The 17520-nt window shown below is 35.9% G+C and overlaps 1 protein-coding gene across 6 annotated transcripts in view; it reads left to right on the forward strand.

Moving 5' to 3' along the window:
• Window positions 1-17520, forward strand: part of RASA2 (RAS p21 protein activator 2) — a 128318-nt gene that overhangs the window by 67089 nt on the left and 43709 nt on the right. For all 6 annotated transcript variants that reach the window (NM_001303245.3, NM_001303246.3, NM_006506.5 and 3 more), the window contains 5 exons: window positions 1725-1797; window positions 4771-4847; window positions 5779-5880; window positions 16797-16953; window positions 17291-17439. In NM_001303245.3, coding sequence (NP_001290174.1) covers window positions 1725-1797; window positions 4771-4847; window positions 5779-5880; window positions 16797-16953; window positions 17291-17439 — 558 coding nt within the window. The remainder of the gene's footprint in view (window positions 1-1724; window positions 1798-4770; window positions 4848-5778; window positions 5881-16796; window positions 16954-17290; window positions 17440-17520) is intronic.

The raw sequence follows: 17520 nt of genomic DNA on the forward strand, positions 1-17520 counted from the left end.
CTTTTTACAGACAGAAATTGGTACCCCATTTTAAATCTGCCATGCTCTTAGGCTTTAAGGAACAACTTCAGTTTTATACTAGTACAATGTAGTACTTTAAAACATAAACTTGACTTTTCATGCATCAGCATTCCTACTTTTCAAATATCCTGAATTTTATGCATGTAAAATCCTGTTTTAATGAATGCCAGTTCAGAATAACAAGACAATTTATATATTTTTATCTGGAAGGCAGCTCAGGACTGAAAATTGCCTTTTCTACTCATGAAATCTGTCCTCTACAGAGAGAATTCCAACTGTAGAAAAACTGCTGAAGTACTAGAGCATGGCAAAGTGTACCATATCATTGATTTAAATGATTTATAATAATTTGTGAAAAAACCTATAGCACTTTGTAATACGGTGTGTTATATGACTTCATTATGATTTCTTTAAGGAACTGACACATCTGAAATATGTCTACAACTTGAAGGTTTAGAATCAGGAAGCAAGAAACACAGTATTCCCTCTACACACACATACATGCATACATACACACCCCTTTTCCCCATCCCCAGAATCTCTAGTTATTCTTACTTTGTAGAAAATCACTACTAAGTCACTTTGAAAAATGTATTTATGTATGTATGTAAAGTACCTAGTACCATGCCGGTATTTATTAGGTGCTCAAACAATAGTATGCTATTAGCAGATACTCAGTCGTATGACATTAAATGCTATTAGAGAGATTTATTTTTGTGTGTTAAAAATGTTCAATCTAGTGGAGCTATTTTTGTTTTTTTTAATAATCTCTACCTGACAAATTATTTGGTAACATACAGTTAGAGACAATTTGGCATATGAATTTGTGTTTTAAAAAGTCTGGCCAGGCGCAGGTGGCTCACGCCTGTAATCCCAGCACTTTGGGAGGCCGAGGCGGGTGGATTACCTGAGGTCAGGAGTTCGAGATCAGCCTGACCAACAAGGAGAAACCCCGTCTCTACTAAAAATACAGAATTAGCTGGGTGTGGTGGCTCATGCCTGTAATCCCAGCTACTCGGGAGGCTGAGGCAGGAGAATCGCTTGAACCCTGAGGCGAAGGTTATGGTGAACCGAGATTGTGCCATTGCACTCCATCCAGCCTGGGCAACGAGCAAAACTCCATCTCAAAAAACTAAAAAATAAAAAGTCACTGTTGGTTTTGCTATTGTACTGTAGTTGTGTAAGATGTTAACACTGGGAGAGGCTGGGTAAAAACACAAGATTTCCTTATGCGTTTTTTGTGACCTCCTCTGAATCTATAATTAAATTAAAAGATTTTTTTAAGAAGTCTCTATTATACCTGAAGCCCAAGAAGTAAGCTGAGTTAAGAATGTTTTTCAAGTTCCTTGGGTATTTTTCAACATAGATGAAGGTGCTCTAAATCTTATTGTCTTCCTTCTATTTATTCTGAGTTGCTTATAGAATAGAATGTGTTTTTAAAACCCCTGAAAAAGGTTGGCAATCTAGTGTGTCCGTAGAGAGAATAATACAATCTTGGCACATAGGGGATGCCTAAAGCTTATATATTCTTTGATTTGAGTTTATAAGGACAGTTACTTTTTTCCAAGCAATATTTAAAACTGAATCTTCCCTGAGTCACCTTAACTTTTAAATGGAGGTCAGGCTCCCTGGTTGGAAATAGCATGTTTTATAATTGTGTACTGTTAAGTTCTACAAGGTAAAACTCTACCACATTGGAACAGGAATGACCAAAAGAAGACAAAAGTAAAGAAGAAAACAAGCAATCCGCAGTTTAATGAAATCTTTTATTTTGAGGTAATTTTTTGTTTTACGTAAATGTTAACATTAAATATGTAATATTTAATGCTAGTTGATTTCTTTTTTCAAACCACAGTCATAGTAATCATTTTATCAATTAATGCAGATAAGCATTTCTCTCCTGAAAGCAGTAGAACCATGGTGTGATGCAATGGATGCCCAATATATAAAATGAATAAAGGCAGAGCTCTAATTTGGGAGCAGGAAGGGCCAGGGCCATACCCACTCCCCAGTCATCCTCACTATTCATGCCCTTCCTTTGCACCCTCCCTTACCCTACCCAGCTCCCTACCTAACACATAGTGGCCACAGGATTCTTCTGCAGGGTACCCTTTGACAGTCACTAGTGAAGTAAGTGTAATTATCACTCAAGAAATCTGAGTTCCAGTCAAGTTGACTGAAAGAGTCACTAAATGTGACTCAAGTTTCTTATCCTGTGAAAGAATAATCGGAAGGGAAACTAGCAGCACTACCTGACTCAGAGTTTTTGTAAGACCCAAAGCATGTGAGAATCCTTTGAGACCATAAAATACTTTATGATTACAGCTTTATTATTACTTTTTTTTTTAAGCCTAATTCATTCTGTGGACGCCTGCTTATCTTCATAGACAGCTTCAGCTGCCTTGAAGTTGTCCCAAATACAGTTTGGACAAAAGCTTTGGAGTGCTTTTCTTTGGAGCATTTGTTAAAGAAATCCTTTTTCATATTATTTGCAAACTACAGAAAAAAAAAATCAAACTCTCAAAAAGATTGTATTCTAATAAAGCATGTTGCAGTTCATATCAACGTGTAGGGAAGGTTTGAAAAAAGGAGTTACATTTTGTGCCTTTTCTTCTGTGTGTATTTTTCTTGGTATTTCACAGTGGAGAGAATAACGGTACCTCTAGTCATGCCTGATTGCTGTACTTTAATAAAGGAACACAGGCCGAAGAAAATGCCAAAAGTGAAGCAGGAAGAATTGTGGAGGGGGAAGCAAGGGAGAAAAAAAAAACAAAAGAAAAAGTACCAATGTGAGACTTTTCCATTTCCTGGCTAAGGACTTGGTGCAGTTGTTCTACGTTTATTAATGGCGGTTGCATCTAACCTGGAGAAAACAAAGAAGGCAGCAATGTAAAGGGCCGCTGACTAAAGGCACTCACACTCCCCATTAGCCCACATACCTTAAACCTCAGCTGGATGGAATCTACTCTGCTTCATGGATCCTTACAGTCAGCAGATGACCTTTTAAAAGTAGAAGGCCTGACCTGCCTGCTGTAGCAGGAGTACTTGTTAGGCCTTGCAACATTCATTCAGAGGGCCTTTAGTTGGTTATAAAGATAGATACATTTCCATCTCTGTCCTTTAACTGAAGCAAGGAACACAAAGCAGACATATGTATGCATATACACAACAGTAAAATGCAGTAGATATTGGGGAGGTCAGATGAACTCTGCTCCATTAAAGGCTTGAAGAAATATTGGATTTTCTAAGATTGAGGAAAGAGAGTATTAGAGATGACGAACATTTTGAGCAGAGGCACAGAGACAGAAAAGCAGAAAGTTATGTCCAAAGTACAGTGAGTACTGATTTTACTGGGCTTGTGTAAGGAAATAATGGAAACTAAGATTAGAAAGGTAGAGTAAGACCAGCTGATGAAAGGCCTTGAGTGCCTAGTTATGGTGCTTAAGTAAATGATTTTGAGCCTATAAGTTATGAGTAAAACAGTGTTTGGGAAGGAATTAACTATGATCTGAGGTCCAGGTGGCTTAGGGAGAAAGAACAAAGCTGGGGAGACTGTTGTACTTTAGGTGTAAGAAAAATGGGGAGGGGATGGGGTATCTTTCAAGAGAGTGCTATGGAAATAGAGAGGAAGAGGCAGATAAAAGAGAGAATGCAAAGGGCAAGGTAACAAATTGGTTATAGAAAAAAAGAGAAAGGAAGTAGTTGAATGCTGCCCCCAAGGTTCCAAATCTGGAAAAATAGAAGAGTAGGGAAGAAGGAAAATAAAAGTGGCTTAGTTTGGAGCATAATTAGCTTGAGGGCTGACATTTTAAATCCTCCAGTAGGGAGTTTATGACTGAAACTTAATATGAGTGATAGTTATTGACCAACACTCAAGGTTTGTTTATATAAACAGCCAAGAAAGCCAAGAGAATAGAGGTATACAATACAGGAGAAAAGTGAAGAAACTAATTTCTGCGACTCAAGTATTTAACTTTCAGCATGTCATTTAATTTCTGTACTTCAGCTTCCTCATTTTTAAGTGAGGGTAATAAATCTAGCCCTGTCCGCCTCTGAGCAGCGTTCTGATGAACAAAGGAGATAATGCATGTGAAAGCACTTTGTAGATTGTACAGCACTGTGCAGCTCCAAGTTGTTTTTAGTGCAAAATAAAACATAAAATTTTGAAGAATAATTTATCTATAGATTCTGAAAAAGAAACAAAGACAGCAGCATAAGGTTGCCAAGGTAGTGCCCAGGTAAATTCTATAGAGTGTTTCTGGGAAAGGAGATACAGTTGTATGATCACTAAATTAAATAGGAGATCAAGGGAGGTAAGAACTGAGAATTTATCGTCAGATGTGGTGATGAAGAGAGATTTTAGGAGAGTGATCTGTGAGGAAGCCAAGATTATAAGGAGTTACTATAGTGAGTGGGTGGTGAGGAAGTACAAGCTGTAAGGATGGATTGCAGTTTTCAGATTTGTCTAAGAAAGGAAAGAGATAGGAAGACCATAATTTAAGGGGAGAATTTTTCTTAGACTTGAGTGAGATGAACAAGCTGGTATTATTTTGATTTTTTTTTTACACTACCTTATTCTTTTCTGCTACTTCCATAGTTGCTTTTATATTCAGCTATTGAGTAAAATATTACTTGGACATTTTCCTCTGCTTTTATCCACAATTGAATATTTTGCAGATGATCATTTTTAAGCTGTAGGAAAAATGTATTTTTTTAAAAAAAATTTTTACTAAAATATTTTGTTTACAGGTAACCAGATCCAGTAGTTACACCAGAAAGTCCCAGTTCCAGGTAGAAGAGGAGGACATTGAAAAGCTAGAAATCAGGTATGTGCCTTGGGGTTTTACAGAATTGCTTTTTTGTATACCAAAAGAAAATCCTAGATTCAACCAAAAAAAGTAAACCAACTTTAATAGAATTCTCTATAGCAAGTTGGTTGATGAAACTTAGAGGAATATGCAACTAATTTAAATCCAGATTATCTTTCCAAAGTCTGATTTGTTTGCAGAAATAGTCAAAGTGTATTAATTTTATAAACAAAGATGATCTAATTTTCATCTGTTTTATTGTATTGATTTTTAATTTTTCCCAAATTGTTCCTTACATTTCTGGATTATAGTGTAATGGATGGAAAGGAAGTTATATCTCAGCCAATTTAGAAATTTTTTTTTATTCTTCTTAACATATCTGCTGTCTAACAGAAATTTCAGTGAGGTAAGAAGATAATTCAACAGGTGCATGTGTTTGAAGTTTGTGCTGTTTCCTGGGTCTTAAATATCTATGCCCTTTGCGAAGGAAAAATCTTATAAATGCATGTGTAGGTGTGATGTTAACAGTGTGTTCATCTAGATGGTATATTAATCATGTGTTTGGAGTGATCAGGTAATGTATTTTTCTAATTTTTCTATATATATATTAATTGGTGGTAATCTAGAGAGAAACTGTAGTCTTATTGTAGTTTCTTTCTGTAGTCCTTATTGCTATAGGTTAAAATAAAGCCTCGACTTTCAAACTAAGACAGTTTAAGTGCCTTCTTTCAGACTATTTAAAATTACTTTCTGTGCTTTTTAAATAAAAGCTGCTGTAGTATTTTGCTTCTCTAGTCTGGATAGTGAGGTATGTATATGGTGTTGCTAACATCTTTTAAGCATGTAAAATTAATGCTGTAATACAGATCAAAGTAATTTGAAGCTGTTTTGTGGTGTGAACTCTCTTAAACATTGTTTGCAAAACATAAAGCCAGTTTTCAATTTTCAGGATCGACTTGTGGAACAATGGAAACCTAGTCCAAGATGTTTTCCTAGGTGAGATTAAGGTTCCTGTGAACGTATTAAGAACTGATTCCTCTCATCAAGCCTGGTAAGGGCCCAGCATTTTAGTGAACTCCATAGTTTAATTCTCTTTAGTACAGTATATATATGCAAATAAATGCTTACTCTGAACATATTTTAAATTTGCCATGTAATAAGCTAAACGTCATTAATATTGATATGTTCATTAATTCATTGTTGCAGAAGTAAATTGTAAGTTTTATGACTTGACCTGTGGTACTGAGATAAAAGAACTGAATCATCTAGGAATATTTTTCTGTTCAGAAGTGAAGACGACTCTTAAGGAGAAAAATGGGAAACATTTAAAACATTACATAAGAGTTGTTCATGTAAGAAAACGCTTGGTCACAAATCAGTGTCTGCATTTCAGAAGTTTTATTAGTGGTCATAGGAACTGTGGGTATTTGAAAGCAAAGGATTTTATTTAGGGGACTCAGTTGTTTATGGGAACTAACCACTGTTCTTCCTTCACCACACCCCATTGAAATGTACTGTAGATGGCCCTAATGTTACTTTTTGAATGTCTAAGGTCTTATGTTGTTGAGCTGGCACTTTTTAGGGCTCTTGGTTTTCAATAATGACTATAATATTATTTTAGTTTTCAGTGACTCTAATAATAACATTACACTGATGTTAAATTCAAATTAATGTTCAGACATTACATTGAGCTAGTTTCCTTAGCAGAATCAATGTGAAACTATTGTTTTTTTTCTGTCTATAGCACTTAAAAGCGTGTGTATCCTTTCAGTATGTTGCCCAGCATCTCTCTTGCTAGATTTTGGTTTCAACTGGGTATAAATGAACATGCCTTTCTCATTTGCCTTTTAAGGAGCACTTTTTGGATCTCAGTTTCTGCTGCCTCAAAGAGGAGTGTTTAGGTGTTTCTTATGGATATCAGTTTCATCTGTTCCTAAAAGAGCCTGCCTCTTCTGATTGGCCATCAGACATCTTCATTTTAGAGTCTTGTCCTAGAGCAGTTATCACTTGTAGACTGATATGGAGACTCTCAAAATTTTTACTTTATTTTTGCCTCTCTATAGTCCAAGGCAGATCTAAGATTTATTGGTCTTTATGTTGGCATTTTGTGTATTATAGTTTGTAAAATGCATCCACAGAGGGGGAAAAAAATCAAATGTAGTCACTATGAAAAATTGATGAAGATTTGGGACCTGTCATCCTCCCACTACACCATGTCTTCCACCTTCCATCAAATAGCATACATTTTAAAATGAAAATTTCTGAGCTCAGTTTGTCAAGTTTTTAAAATTATGTGCCAGACCACTCAGTACAGAAGAGAAAAACACGTTGTAGTGCCTCCGGGTCCCTCAAAATGAACTTGAAATGTGCCACATAATCTGTTTTTTAAGTAAGACTGTCTCCAGAGATGCCTTCCAAATTTGGCAAAACTTTGTGCAGCTTCCTTGGCAGTATGTAAGAACATTAACAAACTAATTTTATTTTTATAGATGTTTTTGGCCCATGATATTTTAAAGTAACCTGCCAGAAATATAAGTGCTGAAATTTATATAGCATGAAATAGGAACATCTGGTAATTCATATATAATTCCACAGTTGTAAGGAAACATAAAAATGTGAATGCCATTTCTTTTAAGTTGGAAATAAAACTCTTAACCTCCTCCATCAATTGTAGAGCCATAGCATCCCCTTGTGGGGTTGTTAGTAACTGCATGAAAACTCAAGAAAAGATTTATTTACCCTCAGGATTTCAGGCAAATTCTTTCTAATGTTGATGTTAAGAGAGTAATCATCAGTAATTTAATTCTGTTGTTTGAAAAGTCTCAAAATAGATTAATTTTTAAATTTGAAAGTAAGATTCAAATAATAGATAAAATGAATTACTGGGTTTTTCTTTTCAACAGAAGCACTTTATACATGATTTTAGACTAGATGAATATTTGATATGATTTAGCTTTCCAGTTTGTTAATTTTGACACCTTTTGTCCTCAAACTTTTTTTTGTGGGGGGGCGGTCTTACTTTTTTTGAGACAAAGCCTCACTCTGTTGTCCAAGCTGGAGTGCAGTGGCATGATCTCGGCTCACTGCAACCTCCACCTCCCGGGTTCAAGTGATTCTCCTGCCTCAGCCTCCCAAGTAGCTGGGACTTCAGGCACACACCACCATGCCGAGCTAATTTTTGTATTTTTAGTAGAGACGGGGTTTTAACTATGTTGGCCAGGCTGGTCTTGAACTCCTGACCTCGTGATCCGCCCACTTCGGCCTCCCAAAGTGCTGGGATTGTGAGCCATTGCGCCCAGCCTTTGGTCTCACATTTTTAACGTATCTGTTTAATATTTGAATTTAGAAAATATAACAAGTCTCCTGTCTTCAGTTAAAAAAAAAAAAAAAAGAAATAGGCCTGGCACGGTGGCTCAAGCCTGTAATCCCAGCACTTTGGGAGCGCAAGGCAGGCGGATCATGAGGTCAGGAGATCGAGACATCCTGGCTAACAATGGTGAAACCCCATCTCTACTAAAAATACAAAAAATTAGCTGGGCTTGGTAGTGGGCAACTGTAGTGCCAGCTACTCAGGAGCTGGCGCAGGAGAAATTGCGTGCACCTGGGAGCGGGAGCTTACAGTAAGCTGAGATCCACCACTGCACTCCAGCCTGGGAGACAGAGCGAGACTCCGTCTCAAAAAAAGAAAACAAAAAACAACAACAACACACAAAAAAAAACCAGAAATAACGTTAAACTTTTTTTTTTTATACGGAGTCTCGCTCTGTCTCCAGGCTGGAGTGCAGTAGCGCCATCTTGGCCCACTGCAATCTCCACCTCCCGAGTTTAAGCCATTCTCCTGCCTCAGCCTCCTGAGTAGCTGGGATGACAGGCATCCGCCACCACACCCAGCTAATTTTTGTATTTTTAGTAGAGATGGGGTTTCACCATGTTCACCAGGCTGGTCTTGATCTCCTGACCTCTTGATCCCCCCGCCTCGGCCTCCCAAAGTGCTGGGATTACAGGCGTGAGCCACCGCACCTGGCCCACGTTCAGTTATTAATAGAACTGCTTCTTTATTCTCTCATTTACATAGCATTATGTACAAATAATTGCACTTTGGGTTTGTCTACCTCAATTTTAATTACACAGACCCTATGGTTAGAATTGTTTAAATGCTGATTTTTTTCTGTTAAGGGACTGTCAAAACTGCTTACTCTTGAGAGCATAAGGATTGCTTTTATGCCTGTGAATGAAAAGTACATGTTTAGAGCAACTGAATGCTACTTTCAGTTAAAAATTTCTCTTTATTCCCTGTTTCTTTTTCTTTCAAACGGAAATATTTCATTCAAAAACTGACATATATATATATGAGTTTTTTGTTTTGTTTTCACTTAGAAATGCCAGATAGTCCTGAACTATTTAACAAATCTTGAGCCTTTTCTCTTTAGCTCTAATTCATACAGAATTATTTAATTCACAAGGATCCTTCAGGCAGTTTATTAAATTGAGCTTTTGTAATAATATTTTAAAATAATCACATTTATATAGTTATACAAATGACTATTGATAGTTATTCATATATTTAAGTGGTAATAGTTATACATCACATATATAAATGTTATATGTGTAACATTTACATAGTGATTACTGTGTGCCAGGAACTATTCTAAGTACTTTACTTATAATAACTTTTTTAGGGCTGTTGTAGGGTTTTAATGTGTTAAGACACTATTAATACTCCTTATTTGACAAATGAGGAAAAAGCACAGAGAAATTTAGCAACTTGTCTAAGGTCACACAGCTGGGATTTGAACCAAACTGTTTGACCCCAAAGTTTGTGCTTTTAACCAGTGTACTGTAAGTTTGAACTCTGGCATATTTCTGAATATATTTAAAACTCAAAAACATTCTTTTAAGCCATTAGCAAAGATTTGAGTGTCCCTTGCTTATAAAATATTATATAAAAGAGAATCAGAGAGTTCCCTACTCATTTAAAAAATGATCTTTTCAAGGGATGGGTAAAACAACAACATGTTGTGAAGTCTTTTTTTTTTTTTTTCAAGTAGACATAGATGAGATATTTTGTCTATGGGGATTTCTTATCCTGCAAAGAAAATCCAAGGAAACAAGTTTAGAAAGTATGGCAGGAGTGAACCCTTCTGGAGTTCTTAAGCATCCAAAAACAATGTATGCATAAAAATGAGTAATTGGTATAGCACTACCCTAATTCCTCTACATAGAACAATGCTATGTTAAGACTGTAGGCCTGGTAATTTTCAGTTATATGAGAGTAAAGAGGGATGTCATACCCCTCCCTCAGTTATTTGGAGCTAAAGGAAATAAAGTTGCGCTCTGAGCAAAATTTCTGTAGTAAAAACCAAAACAGAGTTTGTTTTGACTGTAGAGTTCAGAGACACTGTTTAAGATGGATAGGGATGGTCCCAGAGAGGCAGAACCAGTTGTAACTGAGTAAGCAGTAATACAAGTAATGTTAATCTACTGTGCATGGAAAACATTAGTTCAATAGGAGGAAAAGATTCATCTAGAGTAATAAAAAAGGATTCCAAAGAGGTAGGCATGGTACTGCCTATTCAAGCACAATTGAGGGGGTAGGGGATTCTGGTCCAGAAGAATTACTGTTTCCTTGGCAAGACTGTTGTCTTAGCTGAGAGATTCTTAAGGCTGCATAAAACTCCTTGTCATGCCTCTGTACTCACCACAACGCCTTTTGATAATTTGCCTTTCCAAATAGCCTACCAACAGGTAAAAAAATACAGTGAAAGATATAGATGAAAACCCTATGGTAAATGGTGATAATTGTTGTAACCAAGTGACAAGCACATGGGGGTGGTGGTAAGAAAGGGTGTTCATTATTACTATTATCACTCTTCTCCCTACTTTTGTAAGTGAGCATTTCTATAATAAAATGCATTGGTCACTTAACAATCCAGGTACTTATGCCACTTGACTATATTTCTTTTTCATAAATTTAATAATTGACCTGCTTTTAAGTATATCAGGCTCTGCACTCAGTCATTGCAATTCAGGTGCACCTTATTCTTTTTTTTTATTTTTTTGAGATGCAGTCTCTCTCTGTCGCCCAGGCTGGAGTGCAGTGGTGCAATCTTGGCTCAGTGCAACCTCCACCTCCTGGGTTCAAGCGATTCTCCTGCCTCAGCCTCCCAAGTAGCTGGGACTACAGGCCTGTGCCACCATGCCTGGCTAATTTTTGTATTTTGGTAGAGATGGGGTTTCACCATGTTGGCCAGCCTGGTCTCGAACTCCTGACCTCAGGTGATCCACCCGCCTTGGCCTCCCAAAGTGCTGGGATTACAGGCGGGAGCCACCACACTTGACCTTCAGGTTCACTTTAGATGTGCTGATAAAACGAGATGTCTGAATTTGCAAGGTTGCCGAACATGCCCTGGATTGTGAAAAATTGACCAAAGTATCAATTGTCAGGATGCTTGGTCATCAACCAGCTAAACTTCCTGATGTGGTTTGGCTGTGTCCCTACCCAAATCTCACCTTGAATTGTAATCATCCCCACATGTCAAGGGCAGGGCCAGGTGAAGATAATTGAATCATCGGGTGGTTTCAAATCCCCATACTGTTCTTGTGGTAGTGAATAAGTCTCATGAGATCTGATGGTTTTATAAATGGGAGTTCTCCTGCACAAGCTCTCTTGCCTGCCGCATGTAAGACGTCCCTTTACTCTTCTTTGTCTTCTGCCATGATTGCGAGGTCTCCCCAGCCGTGTGGAACTATGAGTCAATTAAACCTCTTTCCTTTATAAATTACCCAGCTTTGGGTATGTCTGTATTAGCAGCATAAGGACAGACTAAATACACTTCCCTTAGAGGTACTTCTGAGTCACCTTTGCTAACAGGCTTGTTTCTAATTATTTCATTGACCATATCTTTACATCACTATTTCTTAAATCAGACAGTAGATGTTCTGAAGGTTGATCTTCCTCTTTTGTGGGATAGTGATGTAATTTCTTCTTGTATTAACCATCCCTTCATCCTTTAAATTTGCCTTGGTTAATTCGCTAGTTGTCTTTTCTGTCTTTATCTTATCTTTCTCAAAGCTAATAAATGTTCTATTAAAGCCTTCCTCCTTCTATTTTTAAATGAATTAATATATTAGAGGAGGTCATAGCTGATAAATATATAAATTAAGTATTAAAACTACTATTTCTTTTATAAAAAGCATCTCAGCATTCCAGCTAAGTGAAGGAGGAGTGATAGAGTTATAAAATTATCATTTTGATGATTAATGGCTCTAAGCCGTGATCATCAGTGGCTGCTGATATTGCAAAAGGAGAAACAACCAGACATTTATGCCTCTTGGTAGAACTACACAGCATTATCAATGAAGCATTCTTGCCAGAACATCAAATCTGAATCTAACCAAGCCTCTAGATCTAACTACCAATATAGAGGAAATACAGAGAGGATGAAGGAATATGGTAAATGACATTGTGGAGGTAGAGATAAGAGTTAACACAATTCCAAAGGTGGAAAACTCTATAGGACCAACAGTGAGGAATCTATAAAAGAGACTTAAGAATGCTATTACCAATTCTAATCTATGGACCTTATTTGGATTCGAACAAACTGTAGAAAAACATTTATGATAAGTTTGGGGAAATTTGAATACTAAGTGAATAGTGATGACTTTTTAAAATTATATATGAAATTATACCTGGAAATTGCTTTAAAATAATAATGCAGGAACAGGATGGGAGAGTGAGTGAAGGTATGGCTGAAACAAGATCAGTCTTTTATTAAAAAAAAATCAGTGTATGTATTTTTAAATTTTGTTTGGCATTGCCTTTAGATAGAGAATAGAGAAGATGGCAGCTTTTTTCTCATGTTAGTTAGAAACTTCTAATTGCTTTCAAAAAGTGACCCAAGGCTTCAAAACCAAAGCATTCATTCACTCACTCTCTAGTCAATATCCATGGAATGTCTACTACTAAGCCCATGTGCCCTATTCTGACCTATCTACTGAAAATAAAATCGTGGGTTCAAACAGCAATGCTTAAAAAAACTCAAACTGCTTAAAAATATTGCACCTGTGAATCTGTTTTAGTATTTTTAGGGAATTACTTTACTACTGGGCTTTGTAATTTTAAACTTTAGAAAGGCCTTAGCACAGGATTTATAAAACTTGAAAACTATGAGTATAAATAAATAATTCCAGGCCAGGCATGGTGGCTTACACCTGTAATCCCAGCACTTTGGGAGGCTGAGGCGGGTAGATCACCTGAGGTCAGGAGTTCAAGACCAGCCTGGCCAACATAGTGAAACCCTGTCTCTACTAAAAATACAAAAATTAGCCCGGTGTGGTGGCCCGCGCCTGTAGTCCCAGCTACTCGGGAGGCTGAGGCGGGAGAATCGCTTGAACCCGGGAGGCAGAGGTTCAGTGAGCCGAGAGCATGCCATTGCACTCCAGCCTGGGTGACAGAGTGAGACTCTGTCTCAAATAATAATAATAATAATAATTCCAAACATTCTACATTCTTAGATAAAATATGTAATTTATTTCTCAAACAGTATAGGGGAAATATTGACAACATTTAAAATGCATTTTAATGTATTTTAAAACTTTTTAAATGTATTTTTAAAACATTAAAATGCATTCTTAATGTATTTTACATGTATTCACAAAATATAAGAAAATGCAATTCGTGTCATAATTGTGACATGATACCAAAGGAGAAAATCCCTCCCTTTACTGTAGCAAGTGTATACCATAGAGGCAGTGAGTAAGAGAGGAACAGAATAGAGCAGTAACAAGATGAAAATGGAAAGACAAACTCTTCCTCAGTATAAGTAACCAGTGCTATAAATTTGCCGTGCCTAGTACAAATGTTGAACAATTGTATAAACAGAGGTTGAGGATTTTCTGCAAATAATAAAAGAAATATCAGTGCAGATTATTCTGGGAGAAGAATGGCAAAGAAAATCCACAAAAGCATTTTAGCAGGACTTGGGTAACAGAGGACTGAGAGAGAGAATTTCCCAGACCCAAAAAGCAAATAAATAATTTTCCCCAGTCTCTTAGTAAGGAGGGTTGAAATTAAATTCAAAATTTTAATGTTTGCTGTTTATTGCTTTCTGAACACAATTATTTTTAAGTTACTTATGGCCTATTAAGCTGTATAGCATTTTCACTTCACAAGACAGTACAATTATTTTTCATTATATTCATAAATACCTCTCTTAAAGAACTCGAGTCCATTCATTGCATGAATATTATGTACCCGTTAAAAAGAACAAACTGGATCTATGAAAAGTAGTTTCAAAGAGTTAACTAGGAAGTGCTTTCAGGTAAAAAAAACAAGATACAGGAGAGTAGAATATGATAACATTTTTGTAAACTGACTAATAGGCTCAGAACTCATTTATAAATGTGTATATATGCACACATTTTTAAAAATCTATATAAAATTATATAAGCATGAAGAAAATAGAGAAGGGTCCATAGTAGGTAGTTAACAGGTTCCTAAGAGAAGCGGAGGTGCAGAATGGTAGTGTTTTGAAGATAGGAAAAAAGATAAGAGAAAAACAAAGTTAAAAGAGAAAATAAAGAAAACGTTCCTTAAAAAAACAAAAGCATTGATTTGATGACATTGTTTATATATGTATGCATCGTTATCTATTTGTCTATGTGTAGTAAGGATTTTTTAATATTAAATAAAGAAGATTCTGGTTCAAAGAGTGATGAAAATAGTAAGTGGCACTCCACACAGATTCTTTCTTAGTTCTTGAAGTTTGAGCTTCACTACAAAAAGAATCTCCATTCAGTTGCTTTTATCTACCCTACAGCGTTTGTTAATAGCAAATCCAAATTTGTAAATTTAATTTGGAGTTATTTCTGAAAATAAATTTTGTGGGCAATATGATGATAAGCCACAGGAAAAAAAATATGCAGATAAATATTTATAAATAAATTCCTTTAATATATTCTAATTGTGATAGTTTCTGCAGCATAATTTAAAATTATGCTATTTTCAGTGTCCAAATAAGGATGTTATCAGTGTTAGTATTGATCATCTGGCTGCACATAGTAACTTAAAATAATTTTGTTTTAGAATATACTAATAAAAGACATATATAATACAGTTTTTCTGCAGTTTGGTTTCTGGTTATAGTTAAGTAAAGCAAAGATTCACTATTTTATATACAGCACAAGAAAACGCCTTTTTAAAATAATGAATTATTGAAGAATAAGAATACAGTTAAGTTTTTTTCCTGGATGTTTTTAGATATTTTGCTCTAATGGAATAAAGGGGATGAAGTATTTGTAATGGGCATATTATTTTAGATAAATAAATTTTTAAGAGTTTGAACAATTTTTTAACTCCTGGAACTCTTGTGATATCTTGAATGAGTAGCAAACTTTTTTTTTTCCAGTCCTAGAAAGATATATTTTGGCTAAAGCCCAGCAATTCTGAAGTTTTAATGACCAAATTAGTTGAGTTCAATTGTTTTTGCCAACTTAGGCTACTTTAAGAGTAAAAATTGCCTTTCTCTAATCCTGATATAGTCTAGAAAAAAATAGGTATTTACACTAACAACAAATCATAAATTTCAAATTTAGGCAAGCATATTGCTGAGTATCCCCCCAAAAAGGAAATATGAATACTTGATTGTCAATGGTACTTTACAATTTTTATCAGCCTTCATCCAATTTTGTTTTGTTTTGTTTTTTAATTTTAGATTCAGGGGTATAGGTACAGGTTTGTTACATGGGTATATTGTGTAATGCTGAGGTTTAGGCTTATTATCCCTTCACCCAAGTAGCGAACAAAGTACCGGATGGTTTTTTCAATCCCTACCCCCCTATCTCCCTCCCCACTTTTGGAACCCCCAGTGTCTATTGTTACCATCTTTGTGTTTGTGCATACCCAGTGTTCAGCTCCCACTTACAAGTGAGAACATAGGGTATTTGGTTTTCTGTTTCTGCATTAATTCGCATAGGGTAGTGGCCTCCAGCAGCATCCATGTTAGTGCAAAGGACATAATTTTTTTCTTTCTGTGACTGCGAACAAGATTAGTCTTCAGTTGATAATTGTTTAAGCTAGATAATGGGTACATGAGCGTTCAATATTCTCTTTTGTTTGTGTTTTTAAATTCCCATGATAAAAAGCTTTTTTTTTTTTTTTTTAAACTCTTAGATTTCTGGTTTTGGTCCTGCAAATTTCTCTTAAGTTCAAATTTTTGGAAAAAGAATTTACTTTAAAACAAGGTTACTTACGCATTCTGATATGTCTTATCTACTTTTTTTTTTTTGAGACGAAGTCTTGCTCTGTCATCCAGGCAAGCCCAGACTGGAGTACAGTGGCGGGATCTCAGCTCACTGCAACTCCGCCTCCTGAGTTCAAGTGATTCTCCTGCCTCAGCCTCCCAAGCAGCTGGATTACAGGCACCTGCCACCATGCCGGACTGATTTTTGTATTTTTAGTAAAGACAGGGTTTCACCATGGTGGCCAGGCTGGTCTCGAACTCCTGACCTCAAGTGATCTGCCTGCGTCAGCCTCCCAAAGTGCTGAGATTACAGTCATGAGCCACTGCACCCGGACTGTCTTAATTTTCAGCTAAATGCCTCTTTCTTAAATTTAGTTGGTAAAAATTTATTTTTGATAATACATTGGATTTTAAATGTTTACCTTTTATTATCATTTTTTCTAAACCTGCAAGCTAATCAAACTCTTGTTCAACTCCTTTGAGATCTTAATTTCTGTAATATCTATGCTTTTTGTTTCCTGGATAAAAATGTGTTTATAGCTTTGTAATCCAATGTATAACCAATATTAGTTTTCTGAAGATGAGTATCCTGCTACTTATGAAGCTTCCTAACTGTAAATACTAAGTTGACTTTTTTGGTTTAGTTTTTTTATAACTTAACTCTTAACTTGCCTCATTGGCTTGAATGCATTTCCATCACATGGAATCACTTATATTTTTACTTTAGGTACTTGCTACAGCCAAGAGACAATGGAAACAAGTCATCCAAAACTGATGACCTGGGGTCTCTTCGATTAAATATATGTTATACAGAAGACTACGTGCTTCCTTCAGAGTACTATGGTCCTTTGAAAACTTTGCTGCTAAAATCACCAGATGTTCAAGTATGTTAAGAATCTTAAGGATATGATTTAACACGAAACGGCTAAAATAATTCTATAAATGATAAGGAAAAGATTTCAAGAGTATCAAGTCTTATTAAAACAGTAAAAATTATATACATACATATATATACACACACACATTTCTATTTATCTGAACCAGAGTACTATGATTCCTACATGTGCTCCCACAATCATCTCTGATAAAAAATTTCGAAAATTAAATGTCCTGTATAACAGCTTTAGTGACATTATTTCAGTTACTTTTACAGGCTAGTGATTGAACAGTTAATCATGTTTCCTTGATGTTTGTGCTTGTTTTCTACCTTTCTGTATTTAGCCAATATCTGCCTCAGCTGCTTACATTTTGAGTGAAATATGTCGAGATAAAAATGATGCTGTTTTGCCCCTTGTACGACTGCTGCTGCACCATGATAAACTTGTTCCTTTTGCCACTGCTGTGGCTGAATTAGACTTGAAGGATACACAGTAAGAGTTATATTTTATTAAATGTTAATTACATGTTGTTGAAATTGGACCTTAGTTTGACAGATTGATTTTGTAGTCTGA

This window comes from Homo sapiens, chromosome 3 (assembly GCF_000001405.40).
Source record: "Homo sapiens chromosome 3, GRCh38.p14 Primary Assembly".
In the NCBI taxonomy this organism is placed as follows: Eukaryota; Metazoa; Chordata; class Mammalia; order Primates; family Hominidae; genus Homo; species Homo sapiens.